The sequence below is a fragment of the Homo sapiens genome, chromosome 1, assembly GCF_000001405.40.
Source record: "Homo sapiens chromosome 1, GRCh38.p14 Primary Assembly".
NCBI classification, from domain to species: Eukaryota; Metazoa; Chordata; class Mammalia; order Primates; family Hominidae; genus Homo; species Homo sapiens.
This window is the reverse complement of record NC_000001.11, coordinates 41,857,166-41,884,987: the sequence shown is the minus strand read 5'-3', so window position 1 is coordinate 41,884,987 and position 27,822 is coordinate 41,857,166. Positions and strand designations below refer to the sequence as shown.

At 45.1% G+C, this 27,822-nt stretch overlaps 1 protein-coding gene across 4 annotated transcripts in view, besides 1 other annotated feature; it reads left to right on the top strand.

The window, feature by feature from the left end:
* Nucleotides 1–27,822, top strand: part of HIVEP3 (HIVEP zinc finger 3) — a 529,570-nt gene that overhangs the window by 150,947 nt on the left and 350,801 nt on the right. The gene's annotated exons all lie outside the window — the stretch shown is intronic.
* Nucleotides 14,589–14,668: a silencer, noted in NCBI's record as "silent region_754". NCBI's record gives its function as "represses an Ori minimal core promoter by ATAC-STARR-seq in GM12878 lymphoblastoid cells {active_cell/tissue: GM12878}" and the evidence as "EXISTENCE:reporter gene assay evidence [ECO:0000049][PMID:35858748]".

The following is a 27,822-nucleotide window of genomic DNA, read 5'->3' as shown; positions in this document are numbered from 1 at the left end:
CTCCGCAACAAAATTCCACAGTCAGACTTAGATATCCTTGGATCTGAAGAGGAATGGTTGGGCTAAGAGTTATGGTGATGGTAACGAGAGATTCTTTAAATTTGAAAGGTGAGTCCTGAGACTCTTGTCCCCCACCTGGGCCTGCCTTCTCTGGCTGCTGCCCTCTGCCAAGTGGGGCAGGTGGGTGGGTGGGTGGGGGTGCTGGAGCAGAGTCCAGGCACAGACGGTAGACCAGGAGGAGCCTGAGGTTGGCAAGGAGCCACTGTTAGAACCCAGCACAAGCTAAATCTCTCTCAGCTCTGCTTTCCTCATTTGCAAGTGAGGGGATTGGGCTGGATAGCCTCTAAAATCCCTTCCAATGCTAACCCTTCAGGATTTTAAATTTTTGAGTATGTTGGGATTGGCCCACCCTCCATGGCTAACCTTCTGAGGCTGGCAGGATGGGCAGTGGAGGGAGAAACACAAGTTTGCAAACCCCTGATGTCCGCATTCCCCAACGTCCTTCTGCATCAGCCGCACTTGCCTGCAATCCCGGGATGGTTAGCAGCAGCCATGATGGCATTTCGGGAATGCCTGCCCATCCTCCCAGGTGGCAGGTTGCATGTGTCAGTGCTCAGCTGAGCAGGGAAGTGGACCTCTAAACAGTTAGTCTGGTGCAACACCATTTTAAAGACAGGCAAACAGTATCTGCATCTAAATGCATAGAAAATTACTGGAGGGGGCTCATGACGTGGTGGCTCACACCTGTAATCTCAAGACTTTGGGAGGTCAAGGTGGGTGGATCACTTGAGACCAGGTGTTCGAGACCAGCCTGGCCAACGTGATGAAACCCCATCTCTACTAAAAATACAAAAGTTAGCCAGGCATGGTGGTGTGCTCCTGTAATCCCAGCTACCAGGGAGGCTGAGGCACGAGAATCACCTGAACCCAGGAGACAGAGGTTGCAGTGAGCCAAGATTTCGCCACTGCACTGCTCTAGCCTGGGTGACAGAGTGAGACTCCATCTCAAAAGAAAAGTATGTGAAGGAATTAATCCAAAATGTTAAAATTATTTCTCTGTAAAATAATAGGTTACTCCATTTTTTTCTTAATTCCTTTCTGCTTTGTCCTTTTAAATTTTCTAGCTTAAGTATGTATGGTTACAACTTTAGAGTTGGGGGGTGGGTGTTTCCAGATGGAGGTGGCTCTGGGACAGGGGTCAGCGACAGGCAGGGAGAAGCTGGCAGCAAAGTTGTGAGAAATAACCTGCAGAGCTGTCAGAAGAGCAGGCCGTGCCAACAGCAACTTGCTATCACATTCTGCACCCACCAGGCTGCCTCTGACAGGCATTGAGGGGGCAGGCTCGATCCTGTGGGGTCACAGGTTCTCTTTTGGCCCTGGAGAGGTAAGCCTTCAGTGAAAGTTCTGGTTCTGCTGTCAGGTGTACCATTGCAGGTGAGTTGCAGTTCTCAGGCTCAGTTTTGTCATTAGTGTAATGTTGATGTCACCAACCTCACAAGCATTTCGCAGGAGAGTGCCTGTGGTCCATAGCAGGAGGTCAGTGGGCATTAGCTGTCCACCCCGTTTCACTCTTATGCTGCTTAGGGGAAGGGTGGTGGGAGACACCTCTTGGCTAGGGGAAGGGCAATCTAGCTCACAGCACTGCAGTCTGATTGTCCAGGCCGTTTTCCCAGCAGCTCTCTCACTGCAAGGCACACTTTTCCTGGATAGTATTTACTGCCAGGACCACTGAGAAGCTGCCCCAGCCTTCCCAGCAGCTCCTGCCAGTCCCACCCCAGCCAGTCAGTGTCTGTGAGTCCTCAGACCTCCTAGGTTGTCTATATATTTTTTTCTTTTTGCTCTTTCATACCAAGTCCTGCAGACTCCTGGGTAGTCTGAATGCTGCCCCTGTATTTTCTGTGTGACCAGGGGACCCCTTGGAATAGTGTCTCTTACTCCATTTAGACTTCGCTTTAACCTCCAAGCCTCCTAAATAGCCAGCTGGCTCCCCGCTCCTAGACAGACCCTTATTTTAATCTAGAATTTCTAGACAGAAAGCCAGTTCAGCCCTGTCTCATATTTTTAAAAATTTGCCTTTAACCCTGCTTACAACATGACAAACCAAAGTGGCAGTATAGGAAATCCTATCCCAACTCCTGAACTCTAACAGCAAGGATTTAGCAAGACACTTTCCAAATGGAAAGTCAAGTTATTTCATTCCTTCCTCTGTTCCACTCACTCAACAGATATTTCTTGAACACACACTGTAATAACAATAATTCTCATTGATTGAGTGCTTGTTATGTGCCCAGGGGACTTCCAGGAGCTCACAGTCTGCTGAGGATACAGACTGGTGATTGTTTCCAATGTGATGGGTGGTATGAGAAGCAAGGTGGAGGCTGCCTTGGAAGTAAGTAAAAAGGGACATTCCTTCCCCTTCCTATCAAGCCTAGCTATTAATTGTGTGATGATGTCTTTTTCATGGGAAATCTGCTTCTCCTGCAACTCCTAGTTTAATTATCCCTTCCCAGGTCTACCTAGAGGAGAGATGACCACAGCCTTCTGTCTAGTGCTGGGATTTTGAAACTCCTGTCCCATGCAGGGGCTGGGATTGGCCTGGCCACAGTAGGGTCTGCTCAGTTGTAGGCTGCCATCTTCCTTTTCAATTGAAACAGAAAACCAGAAAGTGTCAGGCAGACATAGGGGCAGTCTTTACGATCCTTTTCCCTCCCGCGTGCAGCTCGCAGCTGTTTATCTGTGAGAAACAGGTTTGCCCAGTGGAACGTTTATTTGGTTTCTCTGGCTGATCATGGGAACACACCTGCCACTTTACCACTTCCTGAAAATCAAGCAGTTTCTTAGAAAAGGGACATATTCCTTAAAATACATTGTGTGGTTTGGGAGTGAGATATGGTTTCTTGGATTTTTATGATTTAATGTGTCTACAAAAACATTAAGCCACAAGATAAAAATATACTGACTGCCCCTATGAGAAAATGGACTTTCCTTAGGATCAGGGGGCTGGTCATTTTAATTTTTATGCCAAGTTTTGTTATATTTTCAAGTTTTTGTTTGTTTCTTTTGTTGTTTCTCATCAACTCTCTTACACTCTGGACATACCACAGGCAGCCATTGGTACAGTTTACTACAGTGAAACTTCTACTTATCAACCCAAATAATTTGGACTGAAGTTTTGTAAGAAAAAGGCAAATAATAAAACACATTTTTAAAAAGATTTTAATGTTTAATACCGTAGTTTCAGAGCATGCCCTGGGCTGAGTGTATGGTCCTTCTCAATGCTGTACCTACATCTGAAATACTCTACAATAAGAACAGATTGTTCTGGCAAATAGCTGGGAGATAGTCCATCATGTGTCTATTAATAAAGTAGAACTAGATTTATATTTAGTGTGCTATATTTACTAAGGCAGGACTGGGGACCATGAACATTTTGGCAATTTTTTTCAATTGAGTATTTGGAACTGATTACTATGTATTTACCAGAAAATTTGACTAATCAGCATATCGTTTTTAGAACTTTCTATAATAAGGTTTTCTAATAGGAAGAGAGAGATGAGCAGTGGATAAGAATGTGAAATTTTGGAGTCAGATTGGCCTGGGTTCATGTTATGACCCAAATTATGGCAACTTGCCCCAGAGACTTGGCCTTTCTCATCTAACTCCTCCTCATCTTCAAAGGGGGCATTGTGCTGATACCCACCTCTCATCATTGTTGTGAAGATATAACATAATAATGCTTGAAAAGCAGTCAGCACAAAAGTATTCACCCCTGACCTGTATTAGATGTTGCACAACTCATGGTCTTCGTTGCCCTCATGGTCATTGTTGCTATTGTCTAATCTATCAGCACTGTTGTCATCACCACCATAACGATCATCCTCTATATACTACAGCCTTTGTCACAGCCAACTCCTTTCTCCAAAGAGGCCTTTAGTGGGAGGAACTTGCATTGTGGAATATTGCGATTCAGTATTTCTAGGAAGCTAGGCTAAGATAACACAGGGCATGTTCCAGAGTGTTATATTAGAACTAGACATAGTTAACTGGCCTTTATGCCTTAGTTTGGTTATCAAGAAATTTAGATTTAATGCCATTGTCTTAGTACTAGAGAATGTGGCCCCTTTCGCAACCTTTTGAAGCCTATCAGGATTAGGGGATGCTCGCCCCACAGATGCAGGTCTCCCCTCCTTTCCTATTCACTGGGAGATCTGAAGGCAGTGCAGGGAGAGCAAGGAGGCCACACAGAGGTCAGACTCCTCTGTCATGTCTTCCTTTTCAGATGACTGCCTCATGTCTGGAGACCTCGAAAACTGATCTTGAAATCCAGGGCTTGGTCTGTTCAGTGTTTTCTTAAAAATTAAAATAGAATCTCTCAAGGGCGGAAGTCTCCGCTCTTCTTCCTTCTCCTCACCCAAGCCAATCCACTCTTCCTGAAGGTGACATGGAAATGTAGACTCAGTAAATGTGTACAAACGTGGTGTATCTAGAGCTCCTGCTGTGTGTTTACAGAGTTGGTGCTGCATTTAAGGAGGACAGAGATGCCTTTGTTGTCATGCTGACCACATTCCCTTCCTGGTAAGCAGTACTCACTCCTGAGTCAGGCCCCTAGGTTCAAATCTCAGCCCTACCATTTATTAAGAGGATGGGCCAGGCATGGTGGCTCACTCCTGTAATCTCCCAGCACTTCGGGAGGCTGAGGTGGGGGCATTGCTTGAGCCTAGGAGTTCGGGACCAGCCTGGGCAACATAGGGAGACCCCCATCTCTACTTGGGCATGGTGGCATGCCTATGGTCCCAGCTACTCAAGAGGCTGAGGTAGGAGGATCGCTTGAGACTGAGAGGTGAAGGCTACAGTGGGCTATGATCACGCCACTACACTCCAGCTTGAGCAACAGAGTGAGACCCATCTCAGAAAAAAGAAAAAAGAGAGGATGATCCCAGGCAAGCTAATTAGCCTCTTTGGGCTTCATGCTCATGATCTGTAAAATGGGCACACTAATAATATCTACATCATAGGACTGTGGTGAGGTTTAATGGTCAGTATCTATAAAGCACTTAAGACCATGCTAGGCACCTAAGAAGAGCTCTATGTGAGTTGGCTATTTTTCTTGGCCTTGCCTGTTTCTTCTAGTAACTACCTAGGCTGTGACTTCCCTAATTTTTCTAAAAAATGAATAAAAAGCCTAGATTTTCTTGCAATGCAAGGTATAGAAGAGGAAATAGAAGCAGAGGTTTCACAGTGTGGTACCCCTAAGTCAGAGGTACTTAAAATCAGTTGGATGCACTTTTCTAGGTGGAGGAAACCAGGGACAGAGCAGGCAGAGGTGGACTGAGGAGACAGAGAAGCAGGGTATTGGCTGGAGGCAGGGAGATGAAGGGAGGACTGCCTTGGAGGCAGTACCACTAGACCAGGGTGTTCCTGCTTAATTTAAAGCATGCTGTGAAGTGCTCCAGAATATGTTAAAGCAGAATTGGCTTTAATTGGCTTCAATAAGGAAACTTATATTTTCAGGAAGAGGGGAAGAGAAGGTCATTCAAAACCAAATGGCTGCAAGGTATCCTGTGCAGTGGAAAGTTGGGATCTGAGTGTTGTAATCCACTGAGGGGAAACCAACCCTTATAGGGATTGAGCATCTCACTTGAGATCTGTCTGGACGATGGAGGGATGCCTAGTATTCCTTGGCGAATGGCACATCCTGTGCAGTTGAGAGAGGCCACCTTCATGTAGGCAATAACTGTGCTGAAAGGGAGACCTCTTCTAGATAGATAATGTCAGGCACCTGGAACAGGTCCTGCAAGTCCCCTGCAATGCCAGATTAATCTCAGAGTGTGTTCTTTCCGCTAGGGTGCCCATTGCATGGAGACTTGAGAACAGGCAGGCACTGGGCCTTGTTCGCCTCTGGATTTCTAGTAGGGGCCCAGAAGTGCTTAGGTGCCTGCATTATGCATGGATTATAAATCTGGGATGACCTGGGAAGTAAAACCTAAAAATGGGGCAAGTGCTGATAGAGCCATCCCCAGCCGTGGAAGAGACAAGTGGAGTATGCGGTATCCCTGCCATCACCTGGGCTTGTTGATGGAAAGGAAAGGTAGGAAAAAAAAGGAAGGAGGGGAGGGAGGGAGGGAGGGAAGAAGAGAGGGCAGGAGATGGGGAGGAAGGAAGGGAGGGAAGAAGAGAGGGAAGGGGAGGAAGAAAGGTAGGGAGTTAGGAAGAGAGGGAGGAGGAGGGAGGAAGAGAGGGAGGGAGGGGGGAAGGAGAGGAAGGAAGGGAGGGAGTTAGAAAGAGAGGGAGGAGGAGGGAGGAGGGAAGGGAGGGAGAGAGGAAGGAAGGAATTCTTTTGTACATACATTCAGGTTAGGCCAGTTCAGCTCCCACCCCTGCTGGTGGAATTTAGATCCCGTGATGTGAGTGTGGTGTTTTCTTCTCCTACCCTCTCCCCACCATCAATCTATATTTTATCACTTGCAAAGGTGGTTGTAAACTAAGACAAAATGACCAAATATCACACATTCAGATTTATGCTAATGAAATGTTTAGATATAATCTTACCCTTTTTTTCTTGTGAAATGATTGATTTCTGAGCCTTGGGGGTCTGGTTCCATTGAAATACAGCAGGACCCTCATATCCTTTTGGAGAGAATGAAGATGAACCCTTGCAGAATAGAACATCCTTAAAATTGGTAGCTAAGGCCAGGGTTTTTATGTGTTTTAGAGCAAAGTTTCGCAAATTGCTTGCTCTGTGGGAGAACAGACCTAAATTCTCCTCAGTGCCAACTCATGGTGCTTAATTCGTATTTGTGGATTGCTAGATGTGCAATTAATTAAAAAGCACTCTTAGTTGCGTGGTTCCAAAGAAACTTGCTAAGATACCCTGGTATATTTTACAAATAAAATTAGGCTTTGTAGGAGTTGTAAAATTATGTATGTATATTTCTTTAAATCTCATATGCAGGAATAGTGTTCTGAATCTGGTCCTGTTTCCTGTCTCCAATTTATGTCTTCATCCTTTCTCTATAGCAGTGCTGTTTCTTTGTAAGTGTAGTCCAGGACTAGTTTAGAAATCAGATATTTCTAAATTACCTGATTTAGATTATCTGATTTAAATTATCTGATTATCATTAAAAACAAATGATATTTGTTGAGTCTGTAGTCAGAAAATTCATTGATTTGGTTTCCAGGTTCTAGGTAATGAACATTAGAAAGATAAGATGAATCCCACCCATTTCCCCACCTTTTATTCTTAGCCTTATAAATATCTACTTAATAATATTATTTAATATGGGTCTCCTTTAACATGAACCATTGACCTATGAAACCCATATGAATTTTATTTTTACCTTTCACAACTGATAGGTAATTGCATATTTGGGATATGAGGGCATGAGATATTGTTGGGGGGTGTGAGAAATGGTTCTGAGGCCCAGAGGTAGAAATACACTTGGTATAGAGCACGAAATCCAACAGGAGTGACTCTGCAAATACAATCCTAGAATTCATTCACAAATATGGTTTTTGTATCTTCAAATAGCCTTCTATTGAAGGGAAATAGAATTCAGTTAAAATTGCTTGAATCAGGGTGTGAAAGGCTATGAGGAAGAATGGTGTTTTTGTCCAAAACCAAACTCAGAAATATCACAGCTTCAAAAGCCTGTCCTGCCTTCTGGCTGAGTGACAGCAGCAGCCTGAGTGGGGACTGGCCCTATTGGACATGTGTTCTCTCCCAGAAAGGAATTCCCCCTGCAGAGTCGTGAGGGGTCTGTTCCTCTGTTGTGTGAACCAGGCTGTCTTCTGGGGAGGGGTTTGGGTGTTGGCAGAGCTTGGGGAAAGGAGAATTCTGCCTGGAGTCTTAAATTAAGGTATTCTCCTGGATGAGTTTAATATTATTAACCAAAAAAGAAAGAAGAGTTTTAGGATTTAGCAGTGTGTGTATTCACTGGACTCAAAACCACAGTAACCTCTCAATGCACATGGCCTTCCCACTTCTTCAGTAAGGAAACTGAAACTCAGGAGGGGTTTAGGGCTTGGAGGGAGGACAGAGCAGGGCTTTGAACCCACGTCTGTAGAACGTGCTGAGTTTTCCTTTTGCTGTTTCCAGGCTGCACAGCAGATAATTTCTGTAATGATACTCATCTCAAAAAACCCAGTTAGAAAGTAGACAAGATGTAACATATTGTAGAAACATTTCTATCCTAAATGGATACATTTTATCAGGGTTAGTGTTTAGCTATTCAAAAAATGTGCTTGGCTGGAGTGGGATAGTTTTCCAAGTGCTGAATTTCAGTCTTACATTTAAGAGTGGCCAGATAACATTTAAAGAGACAATGCTGGGAGATAACATTTTAAAGGGAAAAGAGTCCTGGTTGGGGATTTAGGAGACCTGGGTTTAGTAATAATAACAATAGCAATAATAATAATAATAGATAATAATGATAGCAGTAATGTTTGTCAAGCATTGTCTATAGGCCAGGCACTGTTTTATTAACTTTACAAGTATTAATTCACTTAATTCTTATAAAGTCCTCTGAAACAGGTTCTATTATTATCTTTATTTTACAGATGAGGAAACTAAGGCACAGAGAGTTTAAGCAACTCGCTCAGAGTTTGACAGCTACCAAGCAGCAGAGTTGGGACTTGAACCCAGGCCCTGCAGTCTGACTGCAAAGCCGGTCTCTTCTCTGTCACTATCTTCACCTATCTCTTTGCCTCTCTAGGACCCAACACTGTGACTCCCAAAACATTGCTTAATCTGGGATATCATAGACTCAAAAATTTTAAAAACATTTTGGAGAATTATATCAGGTTATCATTTAAAAATTTTTGATGAATACCCCTTATTCTTACTATCCTTTCATAAAAGAAAAAAAAAAAAAACTTAACACTCTCCCCAACAAAGTAGAAGGAACATAATCTCAGATTATGAAGCAATCCTTCCCCAGAAAGGAGAGTTGTCCACTTTATAGGAACCCAAACCCAGTTGCTGTTTTGTAGATGTGACTAGAGTAGCTGTTGTATGTCAGGTGGAGAACAAGACAGACCTAGTTCGTACCCATGTGGAACTTGCATCCCGGTGGGGGAGAGAGTCATTTAAAAAGTAAACAAAAAATCACATAATTACAAATTTGTTAGGTGTTTGGAAAGAAATGAGCACAGTCCAGGGATAGAGAATAAAAATTCGTGGAGAGAAGAAGGTGCAGGGCATGTACCCTGCTAAGGCAAGGCTCTCCTAGAGGGGTGGGGACAGCCTGTACCAGTGACGGGGCACCTGCCAGGCACAGGGACAGCATGTGTGAGGCCCAGAGACAGGGCAGAGCCTGGGGTCATGAGTAAGGGAAAGGAGGCCCCACAGCTGCTGGAGTGTCCTGAAGCTCGGGGCACAAGAGGAGGCTGCAGAGAGCAGCCCTGTCTAGAGCAGCTCTCAAAAGTCAGCAAGGAGTTCTGATTTTTACTGGAGATGCCAGAGGAAACCATTGAGAGGTTTTAAGCCAGGGCATGACATGGTCTGACTTATATTTCATGGGATAGCTCTGTATGCTGCTGGGGACAGCAGATGAAGAGGGGCCAGAAGGGAAGCCAGGAACCCAGTTGGAAGGCTGTTTTGCAGCCCTTCAGGCCAGAGGCCGTGGCCAGGAGCAGGATGGATGGGGAGCTGGAGGGGAGCCATGGGAGTCAGTGTGTATCCTAGCAAACAGCACTCTCCAAGCGGGACAGTTCCCAGGCACCATCTACAAAGACAGGGTACAGGGGAGCCTCAAGGGCAGGGCTGGGGCTGAGAGCAGTAGAGCCTTAAAGGCTGAGGACAGGGGATGGTGCTGGAGCCCTGAAGGAAGGCGCTGCATTGCAGGCAGCAGCCAGGACCTTCGGGAGCAGCCCAAGCCAGGCTGGTATTCTGGCTCTCCCTCTCTTGCAGGGCAGAAGCCTATTTGCTGTTCTCTCCCCCGCTCCATCCCTCCCTGTGACCTGCCAAGGTTGTTCATTGATGTGGTCCTTCCAAGTGAGCCCTGGGCAGAGACAAGTGGCGAGGGCGGAAGGCAGATCTGGTGGGAGAAAGGACAGAGCCAGCACCAAGGCCAGCCCAAGTTGTGTGTGAGCAGCTGGGAGGATGCAAGCCCTTTTCCTGAGGTGGACACACTGGAGAAGGGAAAGGTAGCTGGGGAGGAGAATCCTTTCCTCAGGGACTGGCACTTGGAGACCGCTAACTAAATCCCTCAGGGCCTCTGTTTGTTTGTTTGCTTATTGTCTGTAAAATCAGCCATGGGACTGAGTGACTCCACAGTTCCTTCCAGCTGTTTTCTAATAGAATCCTATTGAGGGCTTACTTTCTGTACCGTGGAGTCTCTCTTTATCTTCTAGAATCCAGTCCTCCTCACCCGCTGCTCAGATACTGAAACAGAGAGGCCACGGTGAGGGAGGTGGTGGTGAGTTTGGTGGTGGCTTTCTGCAAGGGCAGGAAAGCGTTTGGCAGCTGCCCTGCTGCTGAAGTCCACATTTCGAACCTTAGACACTGTGAATCTCCTAGAATACTGTCTCTGAAGCCCCAGGTGGTAGACATACCAGGCCCAGGAAGAGGAAGACTTTTCTCTTGACAGGTTTATGTGCTAGCCAGCTAAGCCTAACTCAAGCAGAATTCTCCAAATGAAAGGAAATCAGTGGGCAATCTTCATGCCTTTATTTTGCTTTCCAGACGAACATGAACATCCCAAGTGAAATCCCAGCAAGTAAATGCATTTCCTCTCCCCTCTCTTGGCTCCTTTTAAAAACCCAGTGAATAAGAATAAAAAATGCAAATAGGCACTTCTGTGATCTAGTTCATTTCAATGATAAGGGAACTTTAAGGCAGTTAACTATATTTCTGATTGCTTTCTAAGACAAGAAGGAATGGTTTCAGTGAAGCCAAGGGAAGTCTGCTCTACACAGGAGTCATTATGAACTCAGGTGGGTGAGAGATGGCTGTGCTGGCCCAGCAGACACTGGGGATACTGCCCCTTCCTGGAGCAGAGTTGACAGTGTGGAGGAGAAGGGAAGCGAGGGTGGGAAGGAGGGCCTGCAGCTTCTTCCTGACCCCAGAATGAAGCAAGTACAAGGCTGCCTGGGCCAGTTGCTTTGAGAAGCTTCTCCACCTTCTGGGAGAGGGGTTCCTTATTTCCCCTAGACCCCATGGTTTGGTCTCTTGAATCCCACTCTTGAATTCACTTTAAAGCTTCAAAGCTCTGGGATTCTCTGATATGAGGAATTCTAATCCTCCTCCTTCCCTCTGTCCTTTTTTCCCTCCTTCTTCCTTTCTGAAGGTAGTGAGGTATTCTGGAAGAGAGTTAAAGAGAATTGATTCTCCCTCAGAAACCAAGATAAAGCCAGTGTGAAAAACACAAGTCAGCGAGAATACAGAAAACCTAAATTTATCTAATTTCAGCTTAGTGTCTTGGGAAGTTATCTCATGTAAAAGTATCATTACCTCTGAAATAATGTAGATCAGTGGTTGTTTTGTAAACATATAGGTTTTTGTAGTTTCCATACTAATTATATGACATGACATTAAATGATGCTTGTCCTGGCCTTAGCTGAGGCCCAAAGCTGAGAACAGTGGGTGCCGGGATCCCCCAAATTCTAAAAGGACATGCTAGGTTATCGGTGCCTGGGCCAGCTGAGTGCATGTCCCCGGGGCCTAGTGGTACCCCCAAGTCCTGTCTCTCCTAGAAAATTCTGCTGGCAACAGGTTAATCAGGACTACCTCTGAAGGCAGATGAAGAGAGGAGCACCGAAGGGGCTGCACGTCCACTGAAGGTGGGGTGAAGGTGGCCATTTTCCTGTGGGTGAAGTAAACACCAGGGGAGGCATCTGGCTAGAGCAGTCCTGAGCAGACCCTGCCTGGGAAGCCGCCTGCCAGCCCCTTCAGCAAAGCAGCCCCCATGTGCTTTCAGATGCACTACATTTTCTTTCGTCTCGTTTCCTCTTTTCCTTATAAAATCCAGTAAGTCCTTTAATAGTAAATCAGTTGATCATTTCTGTTATTCAGGATAAATCTGGCATTTTCCTAGAAAGTTAAACATGCACAGCATATGACCCAGTGATTTTACTCCTAGGTATTTACTCAAGAGAAGTGAACACATATGTTGGTGGAAGACTTGTACGTGGATGTTCATAAGAGCTTTATTCAAAACAGTCCAAGACTAAAAGCAGCCCAAATACCCATCAACTGGGGAATGGATAAGCAACTTGCAGTCCACCCAAATAGATATTATTCAGTAATAAAAAGGAACAAACTACCGACACATGCAAAAACATGCATGGATTTTCAAAGCATTAGACTGAAAGAAGCCAGATATCAACAAGTATATATATATTGTACAATTCCATTTACATGAAATCCTAGAATAGGCAAAACTAATCTATAGGGGGAATGTCAAAACTATGGTTGCCTTGGGGTGGGATAGAGGGAGATAAGAGCAGGGATTAACCGAGAAAGAGTGTGTTAAAGCAAACTGCATATGGCCTGAGAAGGACTCCGTACTTCTATATTTGAGTTCTTGTGGATGAATTGCAACCTAGCTTAATAGGTAGACAAGATTTAGGAGTATGTGCCTGTAACAATAGCTGGGTCTTGGCCAATCCCTGTGGCCATACTTCAACCATTTATAAACTGCTAAGTGTTCAAACTGTGTTCAAATAAGGCAAATGCCAACTTGTAACCAATCCCGCCACTCTGTACCTCACTTCCGTTTTCTGTACTATGTCATTTCCCTTTCTTTTGTCTGTAAATCTTCTTCCACCACATGGCTGCATTGGAGTCTTTGTGAACCTGCTGTGATTCTGGGGGCTGCCTGATTTGCGAGTCATTCATTTCTCAATTAAACTCCTTTAAATTTAATTCGGCTGAAGTTTTTCTTTTATCAAGGATGAGGGAACTTTCTGGCATTATGGAAGTTTTTATATCTTGATTAGGGTAGTGGTTACTTGGGTATATACATTTGTCAAAACCCACTGTTCACTTGAAATGGTTGCATTTTACTGTATATAAATTATACCTCAATACAACTTATTTTTATAAGGAAAACTAACATATAAAATAAAAGTTTTCTTTAAAAAATGACTCAGTATAAAGAGATCTGGTGGTCTTGGGCTCATCAATGTGGCCAAGGTTTTGCATTATCAGCAGCTGAGGATTTTGAGCTTCTTGACGTAGCCCTATTCTTGTCTTTTATCTACGGGTTCCTGTTAACTCATTGAAGGTTGTTCTATGAAATCATTGATAAGACATTTGAACTGATTTAATTGTCGAGTAACGCACAGATTCTTGGATAATGTTTCACGTAGATAGTGAAATTATCCTGCTATCTGGTTATTTCAGCAGATCAACCTGATCCCACCCTCTGTGGAAACATGTTCATCATCTTATTCATTACCAGGAGAATTCTGAATCTACATTTTCATTGTTCACTTACTGTTTAAAGATCTCAGAGATAATTGTGTATAATTAATTTCAGTTCCATGAAGCAACTCCTGTTCACTTCTGCATTTTATTCTTCTGGGGCTAGCACATATGCTAGATAATATACTTTAGAATATGCAGGGGTTTTTTTTTTTTTAGCTTTAAATGGTATTCATTGTAAATTAACACAGTGAACATTTTCTAAGCTTTAAATGCATGTTCGTCATTGTGCTGGGCACTGTGGGGTGTATAAAATCAAATCCCAGACTCCAGTCCTGGAGAAACCTTGAGGGTTTGTTTGACCTGGCCCTTAATTTCAGATGGATAAGGCATCATCACCTCTATAGGTAAAGCAGTAAGTCTGGAAGTTGGAGTAGATAACCCATCCAGCCACCTGCCTTTGAATTACTTCATTTTGTAATAGGAAATCTTGGAGATTTGGTCTGAGTGGTTTGTGAATTTAGTGACAGTATGTCCAAGTCCTTGGTTTTAACCCATCTTGTTCCCATTCTTCCAGAAAATAAAAACAACTGACATTTAGTGAGTACTTAGCACGTGCCAGGCACTGTTCTAAGCAGTTCACGTGTCGTAATCCATTTACTTGTTAATGAAATTATCTGAAGCTGATATTCTTATTCTCAATTTACAGATTTGAAAACTGGAAGACAGAGAGGTTAAGTTGCTTGCCCAGAGTCACATAGCTGGTCAGTGGAGGGGTCAAGACCCTAACCCAGATAGCCTGACTCTATCCACACTCCCCTCAGCGATGACCCTATGCTGCTTCTGCCAGTCCCAGGATAACACCTGCAGGTTCTGTCCTCTCAGGGAGAGTAACTTTCTTCCTGTTGTCTTACATCTTATTGTTTTCACTTACTAGTAGATTAATAAATAAAACAATTTCGTTTGTTAAATTTAAAAGTCATATTGATTGTAACATCAATTATCCCTGTGTAAAGTAGACAGCAGGGTGCATTTTGGAATTTTAGAATATGAATGGAGCTTTCAAATGCTTTAATTCATTCATTTGTACGTTCACCCGGCCAGTATGGACAGGATGCCTACCATGTTGCACGTACTGTGTCAGGCGCTGGGAATGAAATGACAAATCAGATACAATCTCTGTCCTTTTGGAACTGACAGTTTAGGGAGGGTGACAGACAGTAAATCAGTATTGTGTGTGTGATTATTTAATTGCAACGTTGAAAAGAGAGAGTGATAAGTCGAATGTGACTCATACTAGGGGGTCAGTAATCACTTGTTGAATGGATGACTCAGTGAATGAGTGAATGAGTCACCCAATCTAGTGCTGGGGGGCTTTTTTTGGGGAAGTGATATTTCAGCTAAGGTCTGAGGCATGAGCAGGGATCAGCCAGATGAGGATGGTGGGGTGGGGAGGGACCGTCACCCCTGCAGCACCTTCCCTTCTTGGAGTCATAGGGGCACTATGTTTGGGATGTCAGCAGTCCCAGGGTCCTTGTCTCAGGACTGACACTTGAGAAAAGCCTCCTCTTTTAGTCAGACGCACTCACATTCTGCTCCGTTTCAAATCTGTTTAGACATTGTTTAGGCCATCTCTTTATTGTTTGTCCTCCAAACGTGTTACTTGTAAGATTTGTTCCTTAATAATTTATATTTTTATAATGTCAGGGGCCAATATGTTTCAAGAGGAACACATTTCAATGTCATGATGAAAGCTAATGGGAGAAGGCTTTTGTTCTACAAAAATTTTCTTTATTTTTTCAACTTTATTGAGGTTATAATTGATATTAAAAAACTGTACAGATTTAATGTGTACAGTCTAATGAGTTGGGACATATGCTTACACCCATGATGCTGTCACCACAGGCAAGGTAATACACATATCCGTCACCTGCAAGAGTTTCTGTGTGTCCCTTTGTTTCTCATTTTGTTTTTTTCAAAAATTTACTTTATAGGATTATAGAACACATGTGCTCCTTAAAGAAAAACACTGTGCAGGGAGATAACAGTCATCAAACATGGAAACCTTTGAGTTGAATGTGAGTTTCGTACTTTGGTGTCTCACGTATGGCTTCATCAGTCTTTGCTGTGTCCTTGGCATCTGATCTCAGATGTAGCTGCGTCAGGCTCTGTCATCTCCTCACTGGGCACTGACTGGTCTGGGGCCTCCATGGCATGTGCTCTTCTCACACTGAGTGGGGTTTCCGTTTGTCTCTTGGGGAAAGGAAGGCAGTCACCTTTAGTTTGCATCTCTTAAGGGCAGTTGATATCCAGGGCAGGTGAATTCTCTTAGCTTTTTTGATCCCTTGCTTGTGACACACAGATTTCTCCGTGTGAGGGGGTGACCTCCTTAAGAGCGTTGTCTTTATTAATGAGCATTGTCTTTAGTAATGAGCATTAGCCTAGAATGGAACTGTCCCAAAATCCTCAACAAGCAGGTCGATGGGAGAGCCATCACCTGTTTTATTCTACTGACATAAGTAGCCTATAGGGTGTAGACATGAACAGGAAGGAGGCTGGATGCTAGGGAAAAAATACATCCACAGAAACCATTGCTTTGAACCCCACCTTTGCTGGGAACAAGCCTTCTGATCTCAGGCAAATCATTTCACATTCTGAACTGTTGCTTCCTCACTTACAAAAGGGGAGAAATTCCTATTTATTGAGCAATTAATGTGCACAGTCATTATGCTTTAGGTGTCTGTTTTGTTTTAATTGTTCACTTAAGCCTTACAACAGTCTTACGAAATAAGTGTTAGTATCCCCAATTAACAGATGGTAAAGCTAAGGCCTAGTGTACTTGGTACCATGTCCAGAATCAGACCACCTATAGATGGCAGTGTCAGGATTTGAAACCCAGACCTCTGCTGAGCAAGCCCATGCTTTCTCTTTCCTTGCTGTGCTCATGGGAGGGTGGTTGTGGTGAGTGCGGGAGAGCCACGCACAGGTGTGCTCTAAACCATAAAGCAATCGTTTGTTGTTTTCCCCTGAGATAATTGACTAGTTCAGTTGGAATATGAGTTTGTTGTTATTGCTTTAGGGTTGAATATAAACAAAAAATTGGAGACTAGTGTCTCCAGGGGTGTATCTGTTTTCAGTGTCTTATCGGTTCATCTGGCTACTAAGGCGGGGGAGGAGGGGACTTAAGAGCAAGAGACTTATTTGCATAAAAGTATCCAAGTGCAAATTGATACACAGTGTCATGACAGTGCCACCATCTCTCACCCATCAGCAGGGCATCCTGTCCCCATGCATTCTCCAAATATTTGTATATTTGTAGAGCACCTACCCAAGGCTGACACTGGGCCCTGGAGTGTAACACTGAAGTCAGACTCTATTTGACAGAGCTTATATTTGAGTGAGAAAAACAAGACCAAAAAAAAAAAAACCCCCACAAACTATTATATAACTACTGATGGTGTTCATGGCTAAGAGGAAAAGCAGGGTAGGAAGGAGGCCAGTGTGGCTGGAGTTAGTATCAGCTAGGGGAAAGAGGAGGCACTGAGGCCAGCCAGGTGGCCATGCGGGCCAGTTGGGGCTCAGCAGGTCAGTGATAGGACCTGGATGACCATGGTGGGTGGCTTTCACTGCTCAGAGACATTGGCTTTTATTTTGAGTGAGATGGAAAGCCTCTGGGAGCTTTTGGAAGGGGAGGGGGGAGGGCAGAGATCGAAGCAGGGAGTCCAGATGGGAGGCTGTGGCTGTGTTCTAGGTGATAGCATTGGAGGGGTGGGAAGTGATTGGATCCAGGCTCTGCCTTCAGATAGAACTGACAGGATTTACCTTGGTCTCCCTGCCCTGAACCTACACAGGAGGCGTGGGAGGAAGAACCCAAGTTAGGCCATTTACCAGATGGCACCTCGTAGTGGAGAGATGGTGGACAAGGTCGCATGAGTATGGGCAGGTGAGACCTTGAGGTGAGGCCAGCAGGGCCTTGTGCTTCCAAGGTTAAGCACGAGGGAGACAGAATCACTCATGATCCATGCAGCATATTTTCTCATTGAAATGCCTGCAGCAAGAAGGCCATCCTGCGGCCTAGTACAGGTGCCACGTGCAGCTGGAATGAGTCTGGAGGAGTCAGGCTAGAGAGGGAAGGTGGGGAGGGGCTGCTTGGTGAGGCCTCAGCATCTTCCTCTAGGAGGGGGTCTGCAAACTGCAGCCTGCTTGTGAGCCAAATTTGCCTGCCGCCTGTTTTTATATGGCACCTCAAACTAAGGATGATTCTTACATTTCTAAAGAGTTGTAAAATAAAAACATCAAAGAAGATGGTCCATAACCCTTTCTGGCCCTTTATAGAAAAAGCTTGCCAATGCCTGCTGTAGGCACATGATGGCCAGGACAAGGAAGCCCCATCCACCTCATTTCATGCCACTCCTGGAGAGTCTCGGAGGCTGGCCCTGAGCTAGAAATGCCCACTGCAGAACAGCTCTCTACCTGGAGTTCCTGCTGGAGTGTCCCCTCTCTAAGAGGGAGAGTGCCCAATAGCCACTGGAAGCTTGAGTGATGATTGGAAAGACTGGCCCTGGCTCTCCATCATGGTGGTGGTGAGGATGCAGAGGAATGACAGAATCATATATTTTGCAAGCTTTAAAGATGTCTGTTTTGCCTGTTATGCCTGAAATACTCAGAAGTCCCTCTTTCTGTCATAGGTATCCTGACGTTGAGTGTCCTTAAGACACAGTCAAGGTTTAAGTCAGGACATGGGCATTGAGCTGGGACATTAGCATCTTGTCCAGATTTTTCAGTGATCTGTAAATGACCTTTAGCATGCCAGGAGCTCCCTGTGCTCTGCAGCTGCTGACTGTACCGGGGTGATTTGCTTGAGGAAAAGACTAGGCTCATGCTCCTTTGAGTGCCTGATGGTCGGATGTGTTCCTTGGGGAAAATACCCAAGGTCAGAAACTGAGCCAAGAGAAGGCTGATTTGGAGAAGAGGAGGAGGTAGCTGGGGAAGAGAAAGGAACGGAACTGGGAAAGGACAGAGGTTACCTTTTTAAACCAACCTGACCTTCTGCTCCTGGCAAGCAGGCTTGGTCCTGGGTCCAGATCCAGTGAGTCCCACAGGGAGCAGCCAGGTCCACTGTGAATCCTTGGCAAGCAGCCTGCCCTAGAAAGTGGAGTGCACTGCATAGAGGCCCAGGAGTCAGTACAGGCAGTGGCCTGGCCTGGGGCCGACCCTGAGCTGCAGGTCACCCTAACCTGTTTGCCTTCCCTCTCTGGCTAGAGAGAAGAGAATCTTTGGCTCTTGAAGGTTGCTAATGCAGCAGCTGCAGTGGTTTCCACCATGCATCCCCTGTCCCTGAAGCTGGGGTGGAGGACCAGCCTCTGAGGAGTGGTGGCCTGGGGAAAGGGGCTAGAGCCTGACCCCTCCCTGCAGATGTGTCCATCCCCATCTCTCAGTCCCAAGGCAGCTGCACCCCCCACTTTGACCACTGCTGGTGTAAAGGGTGCTGAAGATTCCTGAGAGTCCACTGTGGATCTGCCTGGTGTGAGGAAGCTGGCCTCGGCTGGATAGTTATCCGTCTCTCTGTTTTGTTAATGGACAGTAGGGCCCAGTTGCCAGCTGCCATCACAGCAGCGGGGAGAGAAGGCACAGAAGGCCTCAGATTTCGATGCTCCCTTCTACCATAAAAGCCTTGTTAGTTTATTTGTCAAGTCTTTGGGACCTATTTATGAGCTCAAAGCTCCGTGTTATGTGGTTTTTTTTCCTTTTTGCCAAATCCCAAAGCTACGTGTAATGGACAGATAGTGTTAACCTTGGTATTAGCTCATAGTTAAAGCTGTTGCACTTTGTCCTCCTTCTTGCTATTGCTGTAAATTTTAACTTTTAAGACTTTTAAAAAATAACAGCAAATATAAGTTCCTATAAACTCTTGAGTCTACACCTACCTAGGAATTCACAAGCTGTATTCCAATCTAGAGTTCCCTGGTCATTTCTTACTTTGCTTCAAAATAATTCTCATCTCTGCAGAGCTCATCCAGTTTCCCCACATTATTTCCAGTGGAGGACCCAGCACTCAGAGACGCCCTTCTTTAAAGGTAACCAGAGGAAACAGCGATAATGCCAGGACCCAAGAGTGTGTCTGTGTCTTCCATCAGCCTGCAGTGTGGGATGTGACAGCTCCCCAGAGCATATTCTGAGGGGAGGGGCTAGATGACAGGGGTGGCTGTACTTCTGTGAGACCTCAGGATTCATGGATTCAGCCCCAGCTGCCCCTGCTATCACCGCCAGAGGTGGCAAATGGCATTTGACAGGTGGGCTGCACAGTGGGTCCAGCTCATTGGTGATGCCCCTTGGTAGGACCAGATCTCCTGTCTGTCCCATCTGATCCTTATTGCTCCTAATCTTTGTTTAGCCCCAGCTGCTGTTGTGGCTGTGACTATTATAAAAGATGGCGTGAACGATGATATGAGGAAGGGCTTTAATTTTGCTGGCTACCAAGGAGAGAGTGAATAAAAAAAATAGATCCAAGTGTCTACATTGAGAAGATGTTTGAGTTAACCACCTAATGGGGTCAAGTCCAATGATGGGATGGTTTGTGTACTTTATGACAAGCTCCTTCACCCTTGCTGTTTAACTGTCCCAGCCTCAAAAACTGGCAGGAAGCACAGTGCTCTCATTAATCTCTGCAAGACCTCCCTGGGAAACCAGATTAAGGAGCTCTGTGAAGAGAATCTGCTTATCAACATACTGATGAATGGGCTGGGTCAAGGGTGAGAGTCAGAGGCAGCCAGCGCTGAAGCGTAACCCCCTTGGATTAGAGTGGGTCGTTCTGTCTTTATGCCTATGTTAGCTGCTAAAGCAATTTGCAATCTGGACCTGATGCTCCTTTGATAGTCTTTCTTATCCAGAGTGTTTCCATGGGCCTGCTACCATTCAGCTGTGTCACTGGTTAGCTGCTGGCAAGACATCTGTGAATTCCTTTCCATCCTGACAGAAGCAGTTTATCCATTCTGCATATCCAGAGGTTCTCCTCATGACTCAGAGCCCCTCTGAGAAGAGAAACAGGTGAGCCAGGTGGTCTACTTACACATGTTCCAGTGCCCGGTTAGGGTAGTTCCAGCTCCTCTGTCTGAAAGTTGCCCATGACAAACTATTTATGGAGTAAGTAGGAGCATCTCTATGTGAAAGAACCAGCCTGAAGATGGCCACAGCTGCCTCCTTGATCTGTTCTTTCCGGGGCTTTAGAAATGGTGAGAAGTCACACTAGTTTTCTGCATCTTCATTTTCTTATCCATAAGACATAGGATGGGGAGATGATTGTCTGGCTCTGACCTCCTCTAAGTTTCTGTAACCCTCCAGCTCTCTGCTTGCTACGCACACCCAAATGTGAATGGTTTCTTCCCTCTCCTTTCCCTTCCTGTGAACCCGACCAGGGTGCTATAAACCCAAAGGAAATTTGGAAGGAAGGGAAGAAAAGGCCTGTCCCAATCCTGAGCCCTTGGGGAATCTCCAGTGGAAGAATTTAGAGAGTCTGTAGGGGAGAGCGGATGGGAAGGAGGGGAAAATGCAGAGCCAGGAGGGGCTGCCACTTCCTTTTGGTGCAGAGGATGGAATCTTCACCTCTCTCCACGTCTGATTCCAGGATGGATGATTTAGGGGGAATTTTCTGCAGATGGCTAATCCCATTCAGAAATTCTTCTTAGCTTCTATCAATAGTTGCGGCCCTTCTTAATCTGGATGTATTTGCTCATTTCCTGCAATAATCAGCTCTCACAATCGTAAATTTTAGAGCCAGGGAGAAACTTAGAGGCCAGCTTCTTAGCTTCAGCTTGACAGATGGAGAATCCTGGACTACAAAAATTTAAATGACTTGTCCAAGGTCACACAACCAACTAATTGAGAGAGGTAGAATTACTAGGATCTAATTTACATACAGTGAAATGTACAGATCTTATGTGTGCCGTTAGATCAATTTTGACGAACTCATGCACATGTGCTGCCCGCACCTCCGCTGGAGAACCAGAATTAGAATCATGCTCTTGGCTACAAATGCAAAAGTACAGAAAGCATAATGCCCACTGGGATTTCAGCTTCCATTTGGGAAGACCTTCCTTTCTCTGAAGGTCTGGTCCCCACTCCCTGAACTGGCACATGGTATCACCTCCCCTTTCCTTTCTTCTTTTGTCCCATTCCAAGAACCTATATTATTTTTGAGCCGGAGTTCAGATGTCTTCCTAGTTTAGTCAGGGTTGTCTAGGAAACTAGAAATAACTGCAGATTCCAGGCTCTACAGATCAGGTGATCCTTGGCTCCTCTCTTCAGAGCCATGTTAATTCCTGCCATCCTTTTCCAGCGTTCTCTGCTTTTTCCTGCCCTCACATTACTGGGATCACCCCCACCTTACGCAGTTTACTTTCAGCTCCCCAGCAGAAGCAGATCTGACCCTGCAGCTTAACTTCCCAGGAGGCAGTTGCTGGTAGCAGTCGATGCTGGGTGACATGTGCACAGATGACTCTGCGTCTGGGAACGTATGTGACAGTGGAGGAGGAACGCCTGTGAAATTCAACTTCTGTTTGACTCATCCTTGCCTTCCAGGAACTGGAGGAGGTGTGCATTTGAGACTGTTCAAGTCCATTTCACCTTAAGCATTGCTCTTGTGTGTGTGTGCATTCATTGTTTCCTTCCCTCCCGCTGCCATTCAGAATAACTGCAGCTGTGAGCCACTGCACTTGGGGTTACCATCTGAAAGGGAACCTGCTTATCTTCCGTCTATATCTGCCAAGTGAGAAAACTTGTCTCTACGTCAGTAAAGCTGGGCAGTGATGATATCCCTTGTTTTCAGGGATCTTTATCTGATTCCCTTGCCTGACTCCTAAAACCTAAGTCTCTGACCTGCCCTCCAATTCTCTTTTCACAACAAGCTGCCTGTCTTTGTCAAGATCTGTGGTCCACAGTCCTGTTGAATCTGTAGTTCATTTCTTAGACTCCCAGTGTGTCTAAAGAAATAGGAGGCAGGAGGCAAGCTTGGAGGGAATGGGAAATGTTGACAGCCATGCAGAAATGGATGGGGAGAGATGCATGCCAGGATGTTTGCAGTGGCTTGGGGGTGGAGGCAGAGGAGGTGCTGGGTGGCAAAGAGGAGGGAAAGAGAGGGGAGAGGGGAGGAGAAAAGAAAACAATGACTCAGTTCTTACACACTGAAGCATATGCATAAGTGTGAAAATAACTAAGCCCTACAGTATTTCAGCAGAAGGAAGGATTAGAGTTCTGGATTTCTGAGGATTTCTATCTTGTTCTCATGACTGCTCTTAGCTTATGGTCAGATAAATGTTAGGGGAGCATCAACGGAAGGAGCAAGAGAGGTGGAGAGGAGTGCAGAGCCCACACTTGTTGCTTATTTGTTTGGACAGACAGCCATTTCATTGGTGGATAAAACTTCACTTAACTTGTTAACTCCCCTTTGAAATGAGGAAGCATTGTCCGTAGCCTCGTGCTTCCAGTCAGTGCCACCTTTGGGTGGTCTGGCCTTTTTAAGTTCTTGTAAAGCTGCTCGAACCTGTGTCTTTATGTCTGACGATGCCACCTCCACCTCACATCCCCCAAGTTTTAAAATTCAGAACTGCCCCTGACTCATCCTTCATCCGCCCCCCGGCCAAATTTGTTTCCAAGCCCTTTAGATATTTGCTTTGTGGTATCTTCCAGATCTATTTCTTTCTCTCCCGTTGCCAACACCGTGGCCAGCCTGGTCTACACTGTAAAAGCTTTCTAATGTTCTCATCACCTCTCGTCTAGTCTGCATCCCCACAAAAAGCTAAAGTCTTGAAGTTTTTATTTAATTATGTTAATCTGCTGTTCACAAGTCTCCAACTGCTCCCTGCAGCTTATTGGAGAAAGCCCAAGCTTCTCTGTGTGGGATTCAGACCTCTCTGAAATCTGGCCTCCTTCCTTCCTATCAACGCTCTCATCTCTGCCTCCCTTGCACAAATCCTCCTCCCAGGGCTGGAAATGCAGGCAGCATGTGCAGGATGCAGAGCCTGTCTCATGCGGCGCTCACAGTCTCCCCACATCCCCAGAGGCCAGCTCACTTCTTAGCCACCTGCCTAAAATTTCCCCACCCTTCAAGGTAAACTCAATCCATTTTCCCATAAAGGCTGACCTGCATCCTCCTGAAAATGCCAGCTGCCCTCTTGGGCCTCTAGCAGAACACACTCCTGGATTCTTTGTGCCTTGATTTACCGTATTGCCAGCTACCATTGTGAATCTCATCTCCTTGGTTAAATCATAAGCCCTTAGAGTAGAGCAACTAGGTTTTTCTTTTTTCATTTCTTTTTTATAACCCTAGTGCTTGGCCTGGTGCAGTGTGCTCACAGGCCTCCATGAATTATTTTGGAGGAATTAAAGTGGACTTATCGGGCAAGCTACAAAGTGACTTTGTGTATTCAGCTATAACATGGTCCCCAGATGGAGCATGGTGTAGGAGTTTTATTTGGAGTCATTAGCCATTCTGCCCATACTGACGGACACAGGCAGTGCTATAGGCTGTGAATGGCACACAGCTTTTAACCACCACCCACCTCCAGTGCCCTGGCTCGAGTGTGCTGAGGGGCTGGCAGCAAGGCCTCTCCTCCCTCGTAGTTCGGGATTTTAATCACGTTGCCAAGAACCTAGTCCTGGCTTTGCCTCAATCTGATTCCACCTCCCTCCTGGAAGATGTTCTTCTTTTTGCTTTATTTTGGCTGCCAGTTTCGCTGCTCTGCTGCTTTCAGGTTTGTGTGCTTAAGGTGTGCCCACAGGAAAATTAGCCAGAATTCTAATTCCACGTGTGACTTCTTCGTTAGTGGAGTAATTTAAGAGATGTGAGTGTTCTGTTTCCAGCTGGCATTATACCTGTGGGGGCCAGACCCAGCAGGAAACTCCAACAATGGCAATGGTGGAGATATTAGGGGGAAATATCCCCTTAGTGAAAATGTAGAAGGTCCTCTGAAAACACTGCAAAATTTTTGCAAAAGGAGGGCGTCAGATACATTCAGATCCCTTTCCAATCCAAGAATAGTTTATTCTCTAAGAGCTATCTGGCTCCAGGTGTCTGCTTACTACAAACACAATGGAATTCTCCAAGTCCTAGCAGGGTTTTGACCAGCTCAGGAGAAAATTGCTATGTAAATACCTGTAGGGGAGTGGGGTTAGGAGGGTGTTTATGTCAAATTCTTGTACCAAAGCCAAATGCAAAGCAGGGAAAAAAGTTATAGCTTGAGATAAACAGACCACTGGCCCCACCTTAGGAGTCTTTGTGCTATGCTGACCTTGATTATGAACATGTTTGTTGTGGTAGGATTTGATCTATGACCACGAAGGTTTTCCATCTTGTCAAGGGGGAGATTTAAGGAATTCCCCCACTGTGGCATGCTGTAGCTACTAGAGGCATAACCATGTCGATTTGACTCTTCTCTCCGATATAACTGGGGTGTCTTTATGCAGAAGCTTATGAGAGATGTTTAGGCATCAAATCCACCTTGGGAAATCCTGGTGGAGGTCTTCAGAATCCAGTTGTTGATCCGCAAGCCATCTTTTCTTTGAGGTTTGCCTGCTACCTTTGCTGGTCTGGACAAGAGTGAAATGATCCCAGTGTAATAAAGGACTTCAGAGCTCATCCAGTTCTGCTGTCCACAAGGCACAGAGATGCCCAGTTCCCTGATGGGCAACCACCTGGCCCTGCTCAACCCTTCCCAGCGGTAGGGAGTTCACTTTGAGGCCACCTACTCTGCTGCATCTAATTATGAAAACGGGCTTCCTTTTTAAACATGAACAGGCAATTCGCAAGAGGAACAAGGCAAATGAAAAACTGTTAGTCATCCCTGGTAATTAAAGAAAGGCAAATTAGAACAATGAAAGGTTGTTCTTTCCCCTAACAAATTGGCAAAGATTGTCTAAAGGTTAGCAGTCAGCGTAGATGAAGGTTTGAGGAGATGGGCTCACACCTATTTCTTAAAGACTATTTGGCAATATGTGTTAAAAAGCCTTAAAAATCCCAAATGTCCTTTGGCTTGGTAACTTCAGAGAGATGCTCTAGGTGGCCAGTGGTGGAGGTAGGATGTGAATCCAGGCAATCTGTCTCCAGAGCCCACATCCCTACCCTTACATTCTCCTGCCTCTTGTAACAGACATGTGGAGTGGAAAATAGGTACTAAGCGGTATGTAGAATATGACCCCATTTTTGTTTAAAATATTGAAGACATGACATTACTTTTATAATTAGAAAAAATTGTTTACGAAAATCTATTTTTTAATATTTAGCCAAATTCTGATTTTCCTTAGCCATTACCCATTTTTAAAACCCATTCATTTACCAAATTTTCATTGAGTTCTTTCTATAGGCTGGGCATGGTGCCAGCTACTCTGGTTCGGCAGGGTAGAAAACTGGCCAGGCCCAGCTTCCATGCCACAGGGGAGACTAATGATAAATAAGTAAACAGACCCTAGGGGCAGTCATTTGTTGATGCCAACTGTGTGCTGGGCATTCTTCTAACTGATGTTGATGTTTCATAGATTTACTCTTTCAATCCTTTACATAATTCCTTTAATAACCCTGGGCAGCATATAGCATTAATACCCAAGGCCACCCAGCCAGTAAGCAGTGGGGTCAGGACTCTCCAGCCTGAGCTGCCAACCTCTCCAGCTTCTCCAGCCTCTCTTCTTACTGATGTATTATAATCCAGCCACAATGGCCTTCTTTCCTGCCTCGGAAGCTTTGCACTTGACATTCTGTCTGCCCAGGCACCCCCTCTCCCACTAGACCCCCTCCTCATGCAGGTCACAGAGGCCTTTGCTGAGCTGCTGGTCTGGTCCATCGTGACTTCCCTCTTACCCCTGTAGACATTCTCCATCACTTAACATCACATCATCTTGTTTTACTTTCTTGTGGCTGTTTTCTCTCTCTGACATTATCTGACACTGTTTCACCCGCTGGATTGTAAGCTCTATGGAAAACATGATCCTTGTCCATGTGGTTCACCCACTATCCCCAGCACCTAGCATAGTACCCAGCATAGGGTAGGTGTTACTGGAGACAGTGGGAAATGAATAAATGAGGGATGATGAGCACATATCCTAGGAGAGTGGTCTCCAAAGTGGGATGTCGGTGTTGGAGACCATGGAAGGTGAGATGGTCCATTGTGGGGCAGGAAGAAATTATGATTGAGAAGTAGATAGACACATAGGAAGATGACCCACACACATCTCATCCTTTTTCCCATTTTTGTGAATGACAGGGCATGAATATAATTTATAAATAAACAAATGTGCACATAGGCAGGTACACTCAAATGTTTATTGTTAGGGCATATGACCAAAAAGCTTTGGGGATCACCGGCCTAGAAGGAGAGTCAGACAAGGAAACAGTCCATTCCAATATGGTGGAAAAGGTGTCCCAACAGAGCAGAGTGCTGTGGTAGCATCTGCAGGGCCACCTAACCTTCCGTGGAGCATTGATTACTGGGTAAAACTTATGTTTTCCATTATTTTGTAAATGTTAGGAATGATCATTTTTAAAACTATTCAAAAATACATAAGCTCTCATTTTTAGACCATTAAAGCAACCTGAATGACCATAGCCTTTATGGTCATTGTCGTAATAAATGGTGAGAGAGAGAGAGAGAGAGATTGATTGATTGATTGAGATTTCACAGTTAACTAGTTGGAGAGGCTAACTCCAAAGAGTTATATGGCTGTTAAGGAACTGTGGTGAAATATCCAGGTTGTCCTTGCTTTCTGAGCTGCAAAAGTAATCTGAAAGTTAGAAAAATAAACATACATTGAAACTCCAGTCTTCTAGCTTAGAGAGGTAATAGGAGGTAGCAGGGGAAAAACTTGGGCTTGAGTCTCACCCCTACCTCTTTCCTTCTGCATGACTTTGAGCAAGTCCTTTTCTCAGGACTCCCATCTACAAGATGGGCATGAGGATGCATACCTCATAGGCATCATGTTGTGAAAATGAAACAAAATTGCTTGGTGTGGAGTGGGTCTTGATGAATATTAGTTCCCGTCTAGTTCCTCTGTTTAAGGAGAAAACCCCATGTTATTTAGAAAGGGCCTAAACGTACATCCTTTAGAACATCATCAGGAACATGATTTTTTTTTTTCTATACTTGGTTAAACTGAGTTGTACTTGAAATACATTCTTCTTTAAATCACTTAAATTGATTTCATGTAAACCACAGCCACCCTTCCTGGGGTGGTATTGACCCTTGATATTTTACTGGTGATACCATCAGACCAACCCTCTTTTCTTCCTGGGCTTGACCTCAAATGATGCCACAGCTGGATTTCTGTAGTACAAATAACTCTTGTCTTCTAAGCATGGAGGGTTGCAGTTGGATGGAAGCAGAGTAAACAGAGAGAAGCCGGGACCTTGGCTTGGGAACCACCTGTGTCCAGGGAGAGGGGCCTCTTGTGGAATGGGGGAGGAGGGCTGGATGGCC